Source organism: Homo sapiens, chromosome 9 (assembly GCF_000001405.40).
Source record: "Homo sapiens chromosome 9, GRCh38.p14 Primary Assembly".
NCBI lineage: Eukaryota > Metazoa > Chordata > Mammalia > Primates > Hominidae > Homo > Homo sapiens.
This window is the reverse complement of record NC_000009.12, coordinates 102,113,989-102,135,963: the sequence shown is the minus strand read 5'-3', so window position 1 is coordinate 102,135,963 and position 21,975 is coordinate 102,113,989. Positions and strand designations below refer to the sequence as shown.

Genomic DNA, 21,975 nt, shown 5'->3' with positions numbered 1-21,975 from the left:
AATGGCCTTAGGCAGCACTAACCTGTGGCTCTGCAAGGTACAGCCCCCACATCTGCTTTCATGATCCACAGATGTCTAGAGTAGGGGCACAATGCCACCAGTCTCTTTGCTAAAGTATAGCAAGGGTGACCTTTACTCCAGTTCCCAGTAAGTTCCTTATCTCCACTGGAGACCTCTTCAGCCTGGACTTCCTTGTCCATATTACTATCAGCATTTTGGTCAAAACCATTTACAAGTCTCTAGGAAGTTGCAAACATTCCTGCATTTTCCTGTCTTCTTCTGAGCCCTCCAAACTATTCCAACCTCTGCCCATTACCCAGTTCCAAAGCCACTTCCACATTTTCAGGTGTCTTTATGGCAGTGCCCACTCTCCTGGTACCAATTTTCTGTATTAGTTCGTTCTGTCACTGCTATAAATAACTACCTGAGACTAGGTAATTTATGAAGAAAAGAGGTTTAATTAACTCGCAGTTCCACAGACTTAACAGGAAGCATGGGTGGGAGGCATCAGGAAACTTATGATTATGGTGGAAAGCGAAGAGGAAGCAACAACATCTTAACATAGTGGAGCAGAAGAGAGAGAGAGAAAAAAAGGGGGAAGTGTCACACACTTTTAAACCATCAGATCTTGTGATAACTCATTCACCATCACGAGAACAGCAAGTTGGGCTCCTTCTCATGGTAGCAAGATAATTGCCAACAACTCTTCACACTTTATGCTTACTCATTCATATCCAAATAAAAAGAAGGTCACTTTTGGAAGCCTTAATTGAAAAGTGAGATCAAGTGCAGTGGCTAATGCCTGTAATACCAGCACTTTGGGAAGCTGAAGCAGGCTGATGACTTGAGATCAAAAGTTTGAGACCAGCCAACAACAGCAGATAAGCACATGAAAAGATTCTAGGCCACTGGAACTGAATGAGACTGAAGCGCTCTCTATCTCTGGGTATTCCAATTTCATAAGGAAGTGAATATTTTTAAATGTTTTAGCATTTTTTTTTAAAAAATAGTTTTACATCATGTTCCAGGATACAAGTGCAGAATGTGTAGGTTTGTCACATAGGTATATGTGTGCCATGAGGGTTTGCTGAACCTATCCTCCCGTCATCTAGGTTTTAAGCCCAATGCATTAGCTATTTGTCCTAATGCTCTCCCTCTCCAGTAGCCCCCATCCCCCGACTGGCCCTGGTGTATGTTGTTCCCTTCCCTGTGTCCATGTGTTCTCATTGTTCAACTCCCACTTATGAGTGAGAACATGCCCAAGTCCAAAGCAAGTCCCTTCTACCTTGGTTTTCTGTTACTGCATTAGTTTGCTGAGGATGATGGCTTCCAGCTTCATCCATGTCCCCGCAAAGGACATGATTTCATTCCTTCTTATGGCTGCATAGTATTCCATGGTGTATATGTACCACGTTTTCTTTATCCAGTCTATCACTGATGGACATTTGGGTTGTTTCCAAGTCTTTGCTATTGTAAGTAGTGCTGCGATAAACATACAGGTATGTGTCTTTAGAGTAGAATGATTTATATTACTTTGGATATATTTCTAGTAATGGAATTGCTGGGGCAAATGGTATTTCTGGTCCTAGATCCTTGAGGAATCACCACACTGTCTTCCACAATGGTTGAACTAATTTACATTCCCACCAACAGTGTAAAAGTGTTCCTATTTCTCCACGGCCTCACCAGTATCTTGTTTCTTGACTTTTTATAATAGCCATTCTGACTGGCATGAGATGGTATCTCATTGTGGTTTTGATTTGCATTTCTCTAATGATCAGTGATGTTGAGCTTTTCTTCATGTTTGTTGACCGCATAAATGTCTTCTTTTGCAAAGTGTCTGTTCATATCCTTTGCTTACTTTTTGATGAGGTTGTTTTTTGCTTGTAATTTTGTTTAAATTCCTTGTAGATTCTGGACATTAGACCTTTGTCAGATGGGTAGATTGCAAAAATTTCTCCCATTCTGTAGGTTGCCTGTTCACTCTGATGATAGTTTCTTTTGGTGTGCAGAAACTCTTTAGTTTAATTATATTCCATTTGTCAATTTTGGCTTTTGTTACAATTGCTTTTGGCATTTTTGTCATGAAGTCTTTCCCCATACCTATGTCCTGACGGTATTTCCTAGGTTTTTTTCTAGGGTTTTTATGGTTTGGGTTTTACATTTAAGTCTTTAATCCATTTTGAATTAATTTTTGTGCAAGGTGTAAGGAAGGGGTCCAGTTTCAGTTTTCTGCACATGGCTAGTGAGTTTTCCCAGAACTATTTATTGAGTAGGAGATATTTTCCCCATGGCTTATTGTCCAGTTTGTCAAAGATCAGATGGTTGTAGATGTGTGGTGTTATTTCTGAGGTCTCTGTTTTGTTCCATTAGTCTATACGTCTGTTCTGGTACCAGTACCTTACTGTTTTTGTTACTGTAGCCTTGCAATATCATTTGAAGTCAGGTAGTGTGATGCCTCCAGCTTTGTTCTTTTTGTTTAGGATTGTCTTGGCTATATGGGCTCTTTTTTGGTGCTATATGAAATCTAAAGTAGTTTTTTCTAATTCTGTGAAGAATGTCAATGGTTGTTTGATGGGAATAGCAATGAATCTATAAATTACTCTGAGGATTATGGCCATTTTCACAATCTTGATTCTTCCTATCCATGAGGATGGAATGTTTTTTGAAATCCTGGCAGACACACAACAACAAAAAAGCTTCCGGCCAGTATTCCTGATGAACATTGATGCGAAAATCCTCTACAAATTACCAGCTAACTGAATCCAGCAGCACATAAAAAAGTTTATCCACCACAGTCAAGTACGCTTCATCCCTGAAATGCAAGGCTGCTTCAGCATATGCAAATCAATAAACGTAATCCATCACATAAACAGAACTAATGACAAAAACAGCATGATCATCTCGATAGATCCAGAAAAGGCCTCGATAAAATTCAACATCCTTTTATGTTAAGAACACTCAATAAACTAGGTATTGATGGAACCTATCTCAAAATAATAAGAGCTATTTATAACAAACCCATAGTCGATATCATACTGAATGTGGAAAAGCTGGAAGCATTTCCTTTGAAAACTAGCACAAGACCTAGCATCGACAGTCTTTACAATTTGGCATGTTATTGCAGTGGCTGGTACCAGTTTTTCCTTTCCATGTTTAGTGCTTCCTTCAGGAGCTCTTGTAGGGCAGGCCTGGTGGTGACAAAATCTCTCAGCATTTGCTTATCTGTAAAGGATTTTATTTGTCCTTCACTTATGAAGCTTAGTTTGGCTGGATTTGAAATTCTGGGTTGAAAATTCTTTTCTTTAAGAACTTTGAATATTGGCCCCCACTCTCTCCTGGCCTGTAGAGTTTCTGCCAAGAGATCAGCTGTTAGTCTGATGGGCTTCCCTTTGTGGGTAACCTGACCTTTCTCTCAGGCTGCCCTTAACATTTTTCCCTTCCTTTCAACTTTGGTGAATCTGACAATTATGTGTCTTGGAGTTGCTCTTCTCGATGAGTATCTTTGTGGCATTCTCTGTATTTCCTGAATTTGAATGTTGGCCTGCCTTGCTATGTTGGGGAAGTTCTCCTGGATAATATCCTGCAGAGTGTTTTCCATCTTGGTTCCATTCTCCCCATCACTTTCAGGTACACCAATCAGATGTAGATTTGGTCTTTTCACATAGTCTCATATTTCTTGGAGGCTTTGTTCATTTCTTTTTATTCTTCTTTCTCTAAACTTCTCTTCTCGCTTCATTTCATTCATTTGATCTTCAATCACTGATACCCTTCTTCCAGTTAATCAAATAGGCTACTGAAGCTTGTGCATTTGTCACGTAGTTCTTGTGCCATGGTTTTCAGCTCCATCAGGTCCTTTAAGGACTTCTCTGCATTGGTTATTCTAGTTAGCTATTCGTCTAATCTTTTTTCAAGGTTCTGAACTTCTTTGTGATGGGTTCGAACTTCCTCCTTTAGCTTGGAGAAGTTTGATCATCTGAAGCTTTCTTCTCTCAACTCGTCAAAGTCATTCTCCATCCAGCTTTGTTCCAATGCTGGTGAGGAGCTGTGTTCCTTTGGAGGAGGAGAGTTGCTCTGATTTTTAGAATTTTCAGTTTTTCTGTTCTGTTTTTTCCCCATCTTTGTGGTGTTATCTGCCTTTGGTCTTTGATGGTGGTGATGTACAGATGGGGTTTTGGTGTGGATGTCCTTTCTGTTTGTGAGTTATCCTTTTAACAGTCAGGACCCTCAGCTGCAGGTCTTTTGGAGTTCGCTGGAGGTACACTCCAGACCGTTTGCCTGGGTATCAGCAGTGAAAGCTACAGAACAGCAAATATTGCTGAACAGTAAATGTTGCTGTCTGATTGTACCTCTGGAGGTTTCATCTCAGAGGGATACCTGGCCGTGTGAGGTGTCAGTCTACTCCTACTGGTGGGATGCCTCCCAGTTAGGCTACTCGGGGGTCAGGGACCCACTTGAAGAGGCAGTCTGTCCATTCTCAGATCTCAAACTCCATGCTGGGAGAACCTCTACTCTCTTCAAAGCTGTCAGACAGGGACACTTAAGTCTGCAGAGGTTTCTGCTGCCTTTTGTTAGCTATGCCCTGCCCCCAGAGGTGCAGTCTACAGAGGCAGGCAGGCCTCCTTGAGCTGTGGTTCCAGCTTCCCCACTGCTCTGTTTACCTACTCAAGCCTCAGCAATGGCGGGCGCCTCTCCCCTAGCCTCATTGCCACATTGCAGTTGGATCTCAAACTGCTGTGCTAGCAATGAGTGAGGCTCTGTGGACGTGGGACCCTCCAGGCCATGTGTGGGATATAATCTCCTGGTGTGCTGTTTGCTAAGACCATTGGAAAAGCACAGTATTAGGGTGGGAGTGACGATTTTCCAGGTGCCCTGTGTCACAGCTTTGCTCGGCTATGAAAGGGAATTCCCTGAACCCTTGTGCTTCCCCGGTGAGGCAATGCCTCAACCTGCTTCAGCTCACACTCCGTGCGCTGCACCCACTGTCCTGTACCCACTGTCTGACAAGCCCCAGTGAGATGAACCCAGTAGCTCAGTTCGAAATGCAGAAATCACTCGTCATCAACTAACGAACAAAATAACCAGCTAACATCATAATGACAGGATCAAATTCACACATAACAATATAAACATTAAATGTAAATGGGATAAATGCCCCAATTAAAAGACACAGACTGGCAAATTGGATAAAGAGTCAAGACCCATCAGTGTGCTGTATTCAGGAAACCCATCTCAAATGCAGAGACACACATAGGCTCAAAATAAAGGGATGGAGGAAGATCTACCAAGCAAACAGAAAGCAAAAAAAGGCAGGGGTTGCAATCCTAGTCCCTGATAAAACAGATTTTAAACCAACAAAGATCAGAAGAGACAAAGAAGGACAGTACATAATGGTAAAGGGATCAATTCAACAAGAAGAGCTAACTATCCTAAATATATATGCACCCAATACAGGAGAACCCAGATTCATAAAGCAAGTCCTTAGAGAACTACAAAGAGACTTAGACTCCCACACAATAATAATGGGAGACTTTAACACCCCAATGTCAACATTAGACAGATCAACGAAACAGAAAGTTAACAAGGATATCCAGGAATTGAACTCAGCTCTGCACCAAGCAGACCTAATAGACATTTACAGAACTGTACACCCCAAATCAACAGAATATACATTTTTCTCAGCACCACATAATACTTAATTCTAAAATTGAACACATAGTTGGAAGTAAAGCACTCCTCAGCAAATGTAAAAGAACAGAAATTATAACAAACTGTCTCTCAGACCACAGTGCAATCAAACTACAACTCAAGATTAAGAAACTCACCCAAAACCACTCAACTACATGGAAACTGAACAACCTGCTCCTGAATGACTACTGGGTACATAACAAAATGAAGGCAGAATAAAGATGTTCTTTGAAACCAACGAGAACAAAGACACAACATACCAGAATCTCTGGGACACATTCAAAGCAGTGTGTAGAGGGAAATTTATAGCACTAAAGGCCCAAAAGAGAAAGCAGGAAAGATCTAAAATTGACACCCTAATATCACAATTAAAAGAACTAAAGAAGCAAGATCAAACACATTCAAAAGCTAGCAGAAGGCAAGAAATAACTAAGATCAGAGCAGAACTGAAGGAGATAGAGACAAAAAAAAAAAAACCCCTTCAAAAAATCAATGAATGCAGGAGCTGGGTTTTTGAAAAGGTCAACAAAATTGATAGACCACTAGCAAGACTAATAAAGAAGAAAAGAGATAAGAATCAAATAGACACAATAAAAAAATGGTAAAGGGGATATCACCACTGATCCCACAGAAATGCAAACTACCATCAGAGAATACTATAAACACCTCCTTGAAAATAAACTAGAAAATCTAGAAGAAATGGATGAATTCATCAACACTTACATCCTCCCAAGACTAAACCAGGAAGAAGTTGAATCTCTTAATAGACCAAAAAGAGGCTCTGAAATTGAGGCAATAATTAATAGCTTACCAACCAAAAAAAGTCCAGGACCAGACAGATCACAGCAAAATTCTACCAGAGGTACAAGGGGGAGCTGGTACCATTCCTTCTGAAACTATTCCAATCAATAGAAAAAGAGGGAATCCTCCCTAACTCATTTTATGAGGCCAATATCATCCTGATACCAAAGCCTGGCAGAGACACAACAAAAAAAAAGAGAATCTTAGACCAATATCCCTGATGAACATCGATGCAAAAATCCTCAAAAAAATACTGGCAAACCGAATCCAGCAGCACATCAAAAACTTATCCACCATGATCAAGTGGACTTCATCCCTGGGATGCAAGGCTGGTTCAATATACACAAATCAATAAATGTAACCCGGCATATAAACAGAACCAAAGACAAAAACCACGTAATTATCTCAATAGATGCAGAAAAGGCTTTTGACAAAATTCAACAGCCCTTCATGCTAAAAACTCTCAATAAATTAGGTATTGACGGGACATATCTCAAAATAATAAGAGCTATTGATGACAAACCCACAGCCAATATCACACTGAATGGGCAAAAACTGGAAGCATTCCCTTTGAAAACTGGCACAAGACAGGGATGCCCTCTCTCACCACTCCTATTCAACATAGTGTTGGAAGTTCTGGCCAGGGCAATTAGGCAGGAGAAAGAATTAAACGGTATTCAGTTAGAAAAAGAGGAAGTCAAATTGTCCCTGTGTGCAGGTGACATGATTGTATATTTAGAAAACCCCATTGTCTCAGCCCAAAATCTCCTGAAGCTGATAAGCAACTTCAGCAAAGCCTCAGGATACAAAATCAATATGCGAAAATCAAAAGCCTTATTATACACCAATAACAGACAGAGAGTCAAATCGTGAGTGAACTCCCATTCGCAATTGCTTCAAAAAGAATAAAATACCTAGGAATCCAACTTACAAGGGACATGAAGGACCTCTTCAAGGAGAACTACAAACCACTGCTCAATGAAATAAAAGAGGATACAAACCAATGGAAGAACATTCCATGCTCATAGATAGGAAGAATCAATATTGCGAAAATGGCCATACTGCCCAAGGTAATTTACAGATTCAATGCCATCCTCTTCTAGCTACCAATGACTTTCTTCACAGAATTGGAAAAAAACTACTTTAAAGTTCATATGGAACCAAAAAAGAGCCTGCATTGCCAAGTCAATCATAAGCCAAAAGAACAAAGCTAGAGGCATCATGCTACTTGATTTCAAACTATACTACAAGGCTACAGTAAACAAAACAGCATGGTACTGTTACCAAAACAGAGATATAGACCAATGGAACAAAACAGAGCCCTCACAAATAATACCACACATCTACAACTATCTGATCTTTGACAAAACTGACAAAAACAAGAAATGTGGAAATGATTCCCTATTTAATAAATGGTGCTGGGAAAACTGGCTAGCCATACGTAGAAAGCTGAAACTGGATCCCTTCCTTACACCTTACACAAAACTTAATTCAAGATGGATTGAAGACTTAAATGTTAGACCTAAAACCATAAAAACACTAGAAGAAAACCTAGACAATACCATTCAGGACATAGGCATGGGCAAGGACTTCATGTCTAAAACACCAAAAGCAATGGCAACAAAAGCCAAAATTGACAAATGGGATCTAATTAAACTCAAGAGCTTCTGCACAGCAAAAGAAACTACCATCGGAGTGAACAGGCAACCTATAGAATGGGAGAAAATTTTTGCAATCTCCTCATCTGACAAAGGGCTAATATCCAGAATCTACAAAGAACTCAAACAAATTTACAAGAAAAAAAACAACACCATCAACAAGTGGGCAAAGGATATGAACAGACACTTCTCAAAAGAAGACATTTATGCAGCCAACAGACACATGAAAAAATGCTCATCATCACTGGCCATCAGAGAAAGGCAAATCAAAACCACAATGAGATATAATCTCACACCAGTTAGAATGGCGATCATTAAAAAGTCAGGAAACAACAGGTGCTGGAGAGGATGTGGAGAAATAGGAACACTTTTACACTGTTGGTGGGACTGTAAAGTAGTTCAACCATTGTGGAAAACAGTGTGGCGATTCCTCAGGGATCTAGAGCTAGAAATACCATTTGACCCAGGCATCCCATTACTGGGTATGTACCCAAAGGATTATAAATCATGCTGCTATAAAGACACATGCACACGTATGTTTATTGCGGCACTATTCACAATAGCAAAGACTTAGAACCAACCCAAATGTCCAACAGTGATAGACTGGATTAAGAAAATGTGGCACATATACACCATGGAATACTATTCAGCCATAAAAAATGATGAGATCATGTCCTTTGTAGGGACATGGATGAAGCTGGAAACCATCCTTCTCAGCAAACTATCTCAAGGACAAAAAACCAAACACCGCATATTCTCACTCATAGGTGGGAACTGAACAATGAGAACACGTGGACACAGGAAGGGGAACATCACACACCGGGGCCTGTTGTGGGGTGGGAGGAGAGGGGAGGGATAGCATTAGGAGATATACCTAATGCTAAATGACCAGTTAACGGGTGCAGCACACCAACATGGCACATGTATACATATGTAACAAACCTGCACGTTGTGCACATGTACCCTAAAACTAAAACTGTAATAATAAAAACAAAAGACTTGGAACCAACCCAAATGTCCATCAATGATAGACTGGATTTAGAAAATGTGGCACATATACACCATGGAATACTATGCAGCCATAAAAAATGATGTATTCATGTCTTTTGTTAGGAACATGGATGAAGCTGGAAATCATCATTCTCAGCAAACTATCACAAGGACAAAAAACCAAACACCGCATGTTCTCACTCATAGGTGGGAATTAAACAATGAGAACACTTGGACACAGGAAGGGGAACATCACACACCGGGGCCTGTTGTGAAGGGGGGGGGAAGGGGGAGGGATAGCATTAGGAGATATACCTAATGTAAACGACGAGTTAATGGGTACAGCACACCAACATCACACATGAACATATATGTAACAAACCTGCACGTTGTGTACATGTACCCTAGAACTTAAATTATAATTAAAAAATATATATATACATATATGAAAGAAAACTAGCACAAGACAAGGATGCCCTCTCTCACACTCCTGTTCAACATGGTATTAAAAGTTCTGACTAGGGCAATCAAACAAAAGAAGTAAATAAAGGGTATTAAAATATGAAGAGAGGAAATCAAATTGTCTCTGTTTGCAGATGACATGATTCTACATTTAGAAAGCCCCATCGTCTCAGCCCAAAAAATTTTTAAGGTGATAAGCAGCTTCAACAAAGTCTCAGGATACAAAAATCAAGGTGCAAAAATCACAAACATTCCTATACACCAACAAAGGACAAGCAGAGAGCCAAATCATGAATGAACTCCCATTCGTAATTGCTACAAAGAGAATAAAATACCTAGGAATACAGCTAACAAGGTATCTGAAGGACCTCTTCAAGGAGATCTACAAACCACTGCTCAAGGAAATAAGAGAGGGCATTTTGAAATTAAATTTTTTGTTTAACTGAAAATAGTATCAGAAGTTACACAAAAGGATCAAGGAATAATAGTATCATGTTTATTTTATGTATATAAAAATCATTTTATTGAATATTCCTCCACTGCCCTTTGCCATGGTAATGACTAGTTTCTGCAAACTAAATCAGATCAATCAGAATATTGATTTGGTTTGGTCATTTAATTTGCCCTGAATTCAGTGATTTCATGTTCTTTATCTTACAAGGAAAAAGCATGCCCATCTAGTGTTTCTGAAAACTGTGGTCTGTGTACTTCTTGTAACAAAATTATCAGTTTTGCTTACTAAAAACATAGATTGTAGGGTTTCCTTCCTAGATTATTTTAGAATACTTGAGGAATTTAAAGATTAAATTCTTTTTAATTTTCTTTTTTTGAAACAGAGTCTCACTCTGTCACCCAAGCTGGAGTGCAGTTGTGCGATCATGGCTCACAGCTCACTGCAGCCTCAACCTCCCAGACTCTAGCAATCTTCTTGCTTCAGCCTACTGAGTAGCTAGGACTGCAGGTGTGTGCCACCAAACCCAGCTAATTTTTTGCATTTTATTTTATTTTTTTTTTTTGTAGAGATGGGGTTTCGTTATGTTGGTCTCAAACTCCTAGGCTCAAACAATCCTCCTGCTTTGTCCTCCCCAGATGCTGGGATTACAGGCATGAGCCATGGTGCCTGGCTCATGTGATTCTTATAACAGTCCCCAAAGTTCTGATAGCCAGTAAAAAAACAGGTTCACAGTTCTCATTCTACTAAGACGTACTGTAGTTTTCAAAACTATGGACCACTTCTCTTTTTAGACTCCATCTGCCTAATTTCAAGGATGCCAAAATCTCCTCCCTGTGACTTCTCATCTGTCTCCCTTTGTTATTCCTCATCTGTCTCTGGCTCTAAAAATGAGGATACCCTGCCTGGGTAACAGAGCGAGACTTTATCTCAAGAAAATAAATAAATAAAAATAAAAATGAGGATAACTCGGTTGACAGTCTCACTGAGATTGTATTCAAAAAAAGAAAGAGTAGCTCCAAAGAAAATAAAAATAGGTCACTTATCAGAGGAAGAAAGAATAAGTGCTAGATAAGTAAAAACAAAAGATATTCCAATGTTTTTAAATTTATATATTTTATTTGGTAGTAATTATAGATTTACAGGAAGTTGCAAAGATAGTGAGACAGTCAGGTGGGAAGCACTCCCTGGCAAAACTCCAACCAGCCTGCACACTGGGTGCAGTGCGCACTGGGGTGGAGCCACAGAAGTTTGTCCCCATTTGCAGCAGGGAGGAGCCTGGCCCCGCCTTTTCCTGTGTGGAACCTGGGATTCCAACTGTGAGGCTGGAAGCACACCAGCAGGGACTCTGGCTTTGCAGAAGGTCTCTGTTTCCTCTTTCTGTCCTTTTCTCCCAATAAAACCCTGCCTCATTCACTTTTCAAATTGTCTGCGAGCCTAATCTTTAATGGCCATGTGATAAGGACCCCATCTTTAGCTGAACTAAGGAAATACAGCAACAATAGGACAGAGAGTCCCCTTGTACCTTTAAAAATGATTTTGTCTATATATCAAACTAACAGCTAGCATCAAAGTGAAAAATGAAACACAAGTTTAATTCTCATTAAAGTGAGATCACGAAATATTTACTCACTACCACCATTGATATTTATGATGGTTTGTAAGTGGATGACTACTAACACTAGATATTGAAATAAACTGTATAAATACTGAAACAAAGACAAAATTGTCATTTGATGGATTTTATTACTGTTGATCTTGAAATCCAGGAAAATATATTATGACACTCATAAATTTTATAATATTACAATATGAATGGTGCTCAGTAAATTTTCCGTTGAAATATACTTATAAAAACAAATAACTTTCTTATGTACTAACAATAAACAAAGGGGGAAAATATGGAAAGGAAGGATCTTCTTGTTAAACATAGAATTAAAATATATGAACCTTGCAAAGAAATGTGATGTACTTATATGAAAAAGCAAATTACAAATATTTTGAAAGATTGTAAATGAAGTATTAAACAGTTGGAGAGACAAAAATATTCCTAGATGGCAAAATTCAGAATTGTAATCTTCTCTAAAAATTAACATATAGTATAAAGGCTTTTTTATTTGAAGAGATTATCTTAAATATAACCCAGAACTATAAAGAAAATTATACAGCCTGAGATATTTTGAAGAAAGAGCAGCAATTAGAGTGAGGATGGATTTGGAAGCATAAAATAGGTTTATGATAGCAGATATTAGAATATACTGAAAACATACAGTTAAAACAGCATGATACAGCATTAGCTCTTCATACATTTATGACACAGGATGGAAATCTAAGGATGGCAAAAGCAAATTTTAGTATATTAGAAAATTTAGTGGAACTTAAGATTATTGATTAAAAGAAGAAAAAAATTGGTGGTTTGGCACTTGGCTATTTGGGAAGGAGAATTGCATCTATTTATCATACTTACAATACATCCTAGATAAGTGAAATATTCATGTGTAAAAATAAATAACCATAAAAATATCTGAAGAACAGAGAGCATAGATCTAGTAGTAGAATAGGTCTTATAATCAAAAATCTATAGAGAGAAACAATGTAGGAAAAGGTAATTAGAATTATTTCTAATTATTTCTAAAATATCGTATTCTTCAAATATGTTATTTATTAACATAAAAAAGTAAAAAGGCAAATTTCAAGTTGAGAAAGCTATGTTCAGTCTACTGATAGAAATTTAATGTATTTGTTACAGAAAAGCTCTTTCCAATTAGTATTCTGAAAGAGACAAAAAATAAAAAAGAAGCACAACAAATGCAAATATTCAACTTCAATGTTAATTGTTGTTTTTAATTTAACCGAAGTATCATTTTATCTCTATGAGTGCAAAAGCAGTCAATTTTATCTCAATATTCAGTGTTTGCTAGTAAAAACTGAACATTGTCTTATATCCATGGTGGTACTATAAATTGGAGAAAATAGTTTCTGGATATTAACTTGGTAATCTGCTTCAAGGAAATTTAAGGTAATCCTATCATTTAACCATCTCATTTTGTTTCTAGAAATTTACCCGATTTAATACCATCACATAAGTTTTATGGGTAATTATTAACATTATAGAATTGTTGTCTTTAATAGTGTATAAATGTTCAACTCCCACTTATGAGTGACAACCTGCAGTGTTTGGTTTTCTGTTCTTGTGTTAGTTTGCTGAGAATACATGGACACAGGGAGGGGAACATCACACACCGGGGCCTGTGGTGGGGTGGGAGTTAGAAGAGGGATAGCATTAGGAGAAATACCTAATGTTTATGACGGGTTGATGGGTGCAGTAAACCACCATGGCACGTGTATACCTATGTAACAAACCTGCACATTCTGCACGTGTACCCCAGAACTTAAAGTATAATAATTTTAAAAAAATTATATAAATGTAAGTCAACGCACTTTTCAAGTAACAGGACTTCAGATGATGGTGTCTATTTGGGCATTTGTGAAGCCTGAGCACTGAGTAATGTGACCTTGGACTGTATCATAGTTGTCCCCCAAATGTCATTCAGGTAGAGGCAAGAATCAGCAGCAGAAGTGACTGCAAAGCACTGAGCAGTAAAGCCCTTGCCCTATGTCCTGGCTCACACAGGGCCCAGGGTAAAATCCAAGAGAAAAGGAGAAAGGATTCAAAATAACATGTATTAAATGTCTGGCCAACCATAGTGAGTTGTCCTGTAGCCAGATATATTATGGTTTATAAAAATAAGGAAAAGTGTCATTTCTAATGTTCTGATTATCTTAGAACAATTTGTCCCTGGTAATTGTATTAGGCCTTTTGTTACTGTAAGTTCTTCCACAGCAGAGAGTGTTATTCAACTTTGGATTTTCCCATCTTGGCCTCTAGCAAAATAACAAGTACATAATTAAATTGATAAACCATATTGATTTGCCTGGAACCAAGGGGCTTTCCAGCATGTGGAACTTTCCATGCTAAAAGTTAATGGGTGCAGCACACCAACATGGCACATGTATACATATGTAACAAACCTGCACGTTGTGCACATGTACCCTAAAACTTAAAGTATAATAATAATAAAATTTTAAAAAAAAGAAAGTTTGGAGCGAACTGGGACAATTTTGTCACTTTTATTCCATTTAGAATTTTTTTAATTTGAAGGATGAAGGCTCTGAGGTACCTCCATTAAAAATAATAAAAGAGATTTTAGGATTGAAGGAAGAAATGAGGAACAGCAAAACAGACAGCACTGTTTTGTGCACAGCAGCTTTTGCAAAGATAGAAACCTATTCTCTGAAATGGGAAATGAAGTGGAGGAAGCAAGACAGAACATCCTGCCGGAGTGCATATGCCAGTATCCTGAGCAAAATCAGGGCTGAAAAACATGAATATTATAGGAAAGTGGTTCACACTAATATCTTTGCACATGCCCTTAGCTTTGTGAAATTGCTCTGTTAAAAGAGCCACCCTAAATATATATTATAGCTGTCAAAAACTGCTTTGCCTCATTTATGATTAGATATAAAGGAAAGCGGCAATGATTTCAAGTAAGATAAAGTTATAAGTAAACAATTTCATGTTGGAAAAATAATAGGATGGGATATTGTATTAATAGCATAAAGACTGCAAACTTCTTAAGGATAGAGGCCATATCTATTTCTTTTGTCACTGTATCCTCAATATCCTAGACAGAATAAGACTATTAGCAATAAAAAATTAAAATTCAGAGACATTTTTTAAGCACCTGCCCATGTTTGAAACTGGATGAGTGTAAAGATTATAGTTGGTAAGCAAGGAGATATATCTACCTGATTTAAAAAATAAACAGGAAATAAAAAACCTTTTTTATTTTCAAAATAAAATGCCTGTGTGTTTAATATTAAAGTAAGGATATAGAAAGCTTTATAGATGTGCCTAGGAATTAAGGAAAAGATTTTCATCCTTAATGGAGGATTTGTGTTGATCTATATTCAGCAGTAGAAAATGAAAACTTCTTTTTAATGTGTAGTTACTAAATGAAGTGTGAAGCTTCCCTTTCAGATTAATGCAAAAACAGTTCTTAAGGCTTAGTGCCAAAAGGAAGAAAATTAGTTTTGACTCACATATAACTTCTCTTCTGAAAATCAATGAAATAATGGAGGTGCAAGCAGTGTTAGGGAAATAAATAAGAGCACAGATTTTGTATAAACTAGTTAAAAATATGAAATAAAAACTGGGGAATGAGAGAAACTTCTTAATCTAAGAATTATCAAGCTTTAGAAAAGAAAAGAAAAACTGTGTCACTAAATGGCTTCAGGAAATAAAGTGCAACTTAAAGAAATACTCAAGTAACTCCCAGAAAACATTAGTAAACAAAAAATATGTTAGGGAACATCTGAAGAGAAGAAGATGTTTCTCTGGACCTCTCTTTGTTTTCCCGTTCTGCTGTTGCTGTAGACTAGATCTTTGTCTGATTACCTTTCTTTCACGAGCTCCTACCACCATTTTATCCTTTATCATTCTGAAATTTCCAAGGGGGCTTGCATAGTGAAATGCAGTCTTCAAAAATGTCTCCGTTTTTTCTCACTCCTAAAGATGAACACTAAACTTTTTGTTTGTGTGTGTGCATTTTGTTCTTTATCTGGAATTTAAACTCATTCATTATGGAAAAACTCAGACTTATGCAAACAACAAATCTGGTCACCTGGTATATCACACATAATTATCAGTATATTATACTTAAAGGAGCCTGATAAGATGGCATGCAAAATTTTAGTTAAATTTAGGACTTACTCTACCCACTTCCATAGGAACTTCTCTTTACTTTATCCGTGATGGAGATCCTTCTTCATATACTCAATCTCTAACCTGAAGAGTAAATCAAGTTTTGTAGGAGACTTTTTAGCAATCTTCTCTTCCTCTTGATACTGGAGGGATGCAGGGAAGTGCTGAGTAGAGAAGGGCGGGTCCCTGGCGAGGGCTCCACCCCAAGGCCTGTGCCTATGGACTTGGAGAGGACAGGCACTCCTGCCTTCTTGCCCAAATGTTTCATTTCCCAAGACTACCCTGGCCCACGATGCCCCCATCCTGTGTCTATAAAAACCCTGAGACCCTGCACGGCAAAATAAACTATCATCAGAGTGAATAGGCAACCTACAGAATGGGAGAAATTTTTTTCAATTTATTCATCTGACAAAGGGCTAATATCCAGAATCTACAAGGAACTTAAACAAATTTACAGGAAAAAAAAAAACCATCAAAAATTGGGCAAAGGATATGAACAGACACTTCTCAAAAGAAGACATTTATGTAGCCAACAAACATATATATATATATAGCTCATCATCACTGGTCATTAGAGAAATGCAAATCAAAACCACAATGAGATACCATCTCATGCCAGTTAGAATGGTGATCACTAAAAACTCAGGAAACAACAGATGCTGGAGAGGATGTAGAGAAATAGGTAAGCTTTTGCACTGTTGGTGGGGGTGTAAATTAGTTCAACCATTGTGGAAGGCAGTGTAGCAATTTCTCAAGGATCTAGAACCAGAAATACCATTTGACTCCGCAATCCATTACTGGGTATATACCCAAAGTATTGTAAATCATGCTACTATAAAGACACATGCACATGTATGTTTATTGTGGCACTATTCACAATAGCAAAGACTTGGAACCAACCCAAATGTCCATCAATGATAGACTGGATAACAAAAATGTGGCACATATACACCATGGAATACTATGCAGCCATAAAAAAGATGAATTCATGTCTTTGCAGGGACATGGATAAAACTGGAAACCATCGTTCTCAGCAAACTAACACAAGAACAGAAAACCAAACACTGCATGTTCTCACTCATAAGTGGGAGTTGAACAATGAGAACACATGGACGCAGGGAGGGGAACATCACACACTGGGGCCTGTTGGGGTGTGGGGGGCTACGGAAGGGATAGCATTAGGAGAAATACCTAATGTAGATGACGGGTTGATGGGTGCAGCAAACCACCATGGCACGTGTATACCTATGTAACAAACCTGCACGTTCTGCACATGTATCCCAGAACTTGAAGTATGGAAAAAGAAACAAACAAACAAACAAACAACAACAACAACAAAAACTGAGACCCTAGAGGGCAGAGACACAAGCAGCTGGATGTCGAGGGGAATGCACTGTGTAACAGCACACTGACAGACGTCAGCAGGCTGGCAGGCCATTGCCCGGTGGAATGAAGGGGAGTTTGGCCGGGGCAGTCAGAGGAGAGCCTAGGCCACTAAGTGGTCCAACTCCAGGGGAAAACCACCTTCCCACTTCAATTCCCTTCTCACTCCCCCATCTGCTGAGAGCTACTTCTACTCAATAAAACCTTGCACTCATTCTCCAAGCCCATGTGTTATCTGGTTCTTCTGGTACACCAAGGCAAGAAACTCCAAGATACTGAAAGCCCCCTTTCCCTTTGATAAGGCAAGGGATATAATTGTGCTGTGTTTAGCCCCCTACGGATGGCTAAACTAAAAGAGCACATGGTAACACAAGCCCACTGGGGCCTCAGGAGCTGTAAACATTTACCCCTAGACACTGCCGTGGGGTCAGGGGTCAGAGCCCCACAACCTGCCCCTCTGTCTGATTGCCTAGGGGTTTTGAGTACCCAGGAAGCGAGCCACACTCCCATCACATGCCCTGCAAGGGGGATAAGGGAACTTTTCCCATTTCATTCTTTGTCTATCCTGAAAATTATTTTATTTGTTCTCTCCCTCTCTGTATCTTTCTCTCCGTGTGTGTGTGTGTGCACGCATGCACGTGTGTGTGTAATGCTCTGAGTGAACAGCTTAGGGTATCAAGAAATGAACTACAGTCAGAAATATACTCATTTTCCTTTTGTTTTTTTTAAGGTAAGTTTCTCTAATTCATCTCAGATCTCCCTACACAAAATGAAAATCACTGTTCAGTACATCCAAACACAGATAGTCTATCCCTCAGATTTTCTTTCATTTTTTCTCCTTTGGAGATACTGTCTCTAAAATCATTTGTTTCCCATTCCAATATTATTATTTGTTCTCCATGTCTCTCTAGTCTATTTATCTATATTAATCTTAATTATGAAATGTGAATTTATAACCCACTTTATAAAAATTATAAACATGATGTATACATTGTGTCATATCTATGAATATTTTTTCTTTAGCATCATTCCTAGTGACTGAATACTTCTTTCAGTTGTGTGATGGATTTTTTTTTAGTTGCTCCTTCAGAGGATATGTAATCATTCTCAACTCTGCTCTAGTCCCTAGAATCAGACCCATATGGGCTACATCCACTGGGATCTTGCCTTCTGGCCCCCAATTGAGTTCTGCCAATTGGAGACTCCAGCAGGAGATCAAAGTGCTCACAGAGAGTAAGATCTGATCTTGGTCTCCCTCTCCACCAAGTCTCAATATTGGCTGAGTCCCTCAAACTAAAGCCAGAAATTATATTGATTGGACTTCTCCCTGTACTATAGCCCCTCTCTCTTAGTTCCAGTAACTACATCTTCGCATTCAAGCCTGAGAGTGGTAATGGTTCTCTACTTTTTGCTAGCCTGAGGGTGATTCCTCATTTCTCTTTGAAATGAGAAATCATCCTCATGGTCACCTTAACCCCTTAACCTGACCATGGCAGTTAAATTATTCCTTTATTAATAAGTGCTCCAAAAATTCTTCTTGTATTCTTTTTCTTGATGAAAATCTTATTGATGCAATAAATGTTATCAGAAGCCACTCCGGAAAACAGAAGGCAAACTCAGGAAATATCTACCTTCTTGGGGGAAAAGAAAGGAATGTAAGTAATCTCTTTCATTAAATTGCACTATAATTACCAGTTAGTATTGCTAGTGACATGAGATAAATTATAAGTGGAGGGCAAGCTGTTGGGAGATCAAGTGGCTATGGCACTTAACTGCTATGGTAATAATAGCAATTATAAAGTGTGTAGGGTCATCTAGTAGCTTCTTATGGCACTAAGGATTATATACAGTAAAAACAGAGAGAGAGACAAAAATAATGAAGGGAGTGCGAGAGGAAGGGAGAAAAGGACAGAAGAAAAGAAGAAAAAAAAGAAAGAGAGAGAAGCTGAAATCACTTAATTCCCAACTGAAAATGCAAATGGAAAATCAGAAAGCATCTATGGAAGCCTTGAAGAATTTGCTTATCTCCTGTAGTCACAGAGAAGATATCGCTAAGTGTCTAGATCAAGACCAGAGTTATTTACAGACCTAATTTAGAGCTCTGTCCTAGCCAGTCTCATGCTGAGGAGCAATCGTATGAAAAGAATGAATATTCTCATTATTGTGGCAAACAGTTTACTGAAGGAAATATTATTTTCCCTCTTTGTGACTTTGGTCTCAGTGAAACCTACTTGTCAGAGAACACAGTCATTGTTTTGACAAATGGGAGACCAAGACTGCTTCCTGACCATACAGGGGTCCTCAGGCTGTAAGCCAGTAGGCAGAGATGAAGGTTACCAAGGGAAAATGGGTTTTCTGCCACACAGTGCGAGCAAGTAAGAACTATATCTGGAACCAAGAAATTCTCTAAGGTTTCTCTTGGTATGCTCAACAATAATGGGCAATGAGAAATTGCAAAGATCTATTGAAGACAGGGCTTCCATAGACTCAAATCCTGCAAAATTGTTTTGGGAACCCCAAAAGGTTAAAACTTTATAGTCAAGATAATTTCAGAGTTTAAATGGAACATCAATGAGAAGTAAAATATCTAAGCTGTGATTATTATCTTTGAACTTGGATAACAAAGGATGCCAGTTTCCCCACTGTTGCTAACTCCAAGGGACTTTACCATCCTAGCTATTTTCCTTTAACTTTGCCACATTTTAAAAAAAGTAGTCTCTTTATTAAACTCCTCAATTACCCCATTTGAGAGTGCCATCTGTTCTCTTCTGTGATCCTAACTGTTGCATACCAATTTATTTAAACAATCTCCTATTTTTGCACATTTAGATTATCTCAGTTTTACCTCATGTTTTAAATGACTTTCATATACATCCTTGGTAGCTAAATTATCTTTTCTCCATTGAACCTAGCTATATAGAATTGGATTAATCATAAGCCTTGTTTTGTGACATATTTGATTATCTTTTTGTTTTTTATGGTCCTTTTGATTTACTGCATCCATTTACTTATCTAAATTATTCATTTGTTTAATAATATAGTGAACATTCAATGAACCAATAATCCAAACCAATGACTAGAATATTACTAAAGTATGTTCACTTTAAGTACCCTTACCCTATTTAATTCTTTTGACTTGCCTGTGTAATCTTCCCAAAAGTAATCAACATCCTGAACTGTATATTTATTATTACTTATTATTACTTCTATTATTATTATTTGTATCTAATTTCAAGATAATTTATCATTTAGAGTGTTTTTGAGTTTTAAAAATATAAACATATTGAGGATTCAAAGTGTTCAGAATTCTTGCTAGTCTGGTCCTTGTTCCTGTGTGGATACCAGCTTCCTTCAGCAGTGCAAGCAGCAGTCCCTGAGGCCAGTAGAAGGGGACAGAGAAAACTTATGAGAATTTTGCAGGTTTTACTTTACATTCTCAGTTCTGTTTACAGGTGAATATACATTTTAGATTGCTATTTCTTCTAGAGTCACTGGCTTGGGTTTCTTCCTCAGTGACTCCATTTCTGCTAAACTCTGTGAGTGGGCACAGCTTTGCATTCCCCAGGGAACTGTCTGGGTGCCAGATCATGTGACACTCCCCAACCCTGACCTCTTACCAGGCAAGACTAGCTGGCTTGTTGGTATCTGACTGGGGGAAGAGCCCTGCTTTCTGAACACTGAGAGGGGTAAGACATCTGGGTTTGTTGAGCAGCACAGTAACAGGGCATGCCTACCTCTGCAGGGCTAATCCAGGAAGGGTGTGACATATATGCCAGCCATGGTCTCTGCTCAAGGGAGCCCCATAGCCCAAAACACATGAAAAAGAAAATGCAGGCATGGCACCAGTGATCAGAGGCAGTTCCTCCAAGGCCCAGAATAAGACATAGTGAGGGATTCATCTCTTCCCCACTTCACTGCTCCCCACTCCCACCACCAAGGAGCACTACTATGAATGTACTAAAATGCAAGAGCCATGTGGCTATGAGCCTATCTGCAGTCAATCACCCTTAAGTAACATCTACTGGATTGCAGCCCAAATTACAACACCAAAAATATTTTGCCAGAGTAAAGTGCCAGTGAGCCCTAAGGTAAGAAACCAGCCACAAATAAAGATCCTGCACAGAGCCCTCACCTCTAAAAGCACCCAGAAAGTAGGCAAAATGACTATACTTAATATATGCCACAAGCCAGGTGTGGTGGTGTGGTGGTTTATGCCTGTAACCCCAGAACTTTGGGAGGCTGAGAAAGGTGGATCGTTCTAGCCCAGGAGTTTGAGACCAGCCTGGGCAACATGGCAAAGCCCTGTCTTTACAAAGAAAAAAAAAATTTAAAAAGAAATTAGTCAGGTGTAGTCCCACGTGCCTGAAGTCCCAGCTACTTGGTAGGCTAAGGTGGGAGGATCGCTTGAGCCTAAGAGGTCAAGGCTACAGTGAACCATGATCATGCCACTGTACTGAAGCCTGGGTGACATGAGTAACATAGCGAGACCCTATCACACACACATATATATATGATATATATATACGTCACCCTATCACACATACATATGCGTGTGATATATATATATATATGATTTCTTTCTCATTTGAGAGGGCTGAATATATATATTCACATATCTATCATATATACCATATATGTATCTATTGATATATATGGATATATATGATATATATTATTCAGATCAACTCAGATCAATATCATATATATCATATATCATATATATTTATTATATATGGTATATGACATATATGATATATATGATATTGATATATATGGAT

At 38.5% G+C, this 21,975-nt stretch overlaps 1 annotated feature.

Moving 5' to 3' along the window:
* Positions 2,244–2,413: an enhancer, noted in NCBI's record as "experimental_104087 CRE fragment used in MPRA reporter constructs". NCBI's record gives its function as "activates a minimal promoter by MPRAs in K562 erythroleukemia cells, with activity observed for both the introgressed and non-introgressed 9:104895918 variant alleles {active_cell/tissue: K562}" and the evidence as "EXISTENCE:reporter gene assay evidence [ECO:0000049][PMID:34662402]".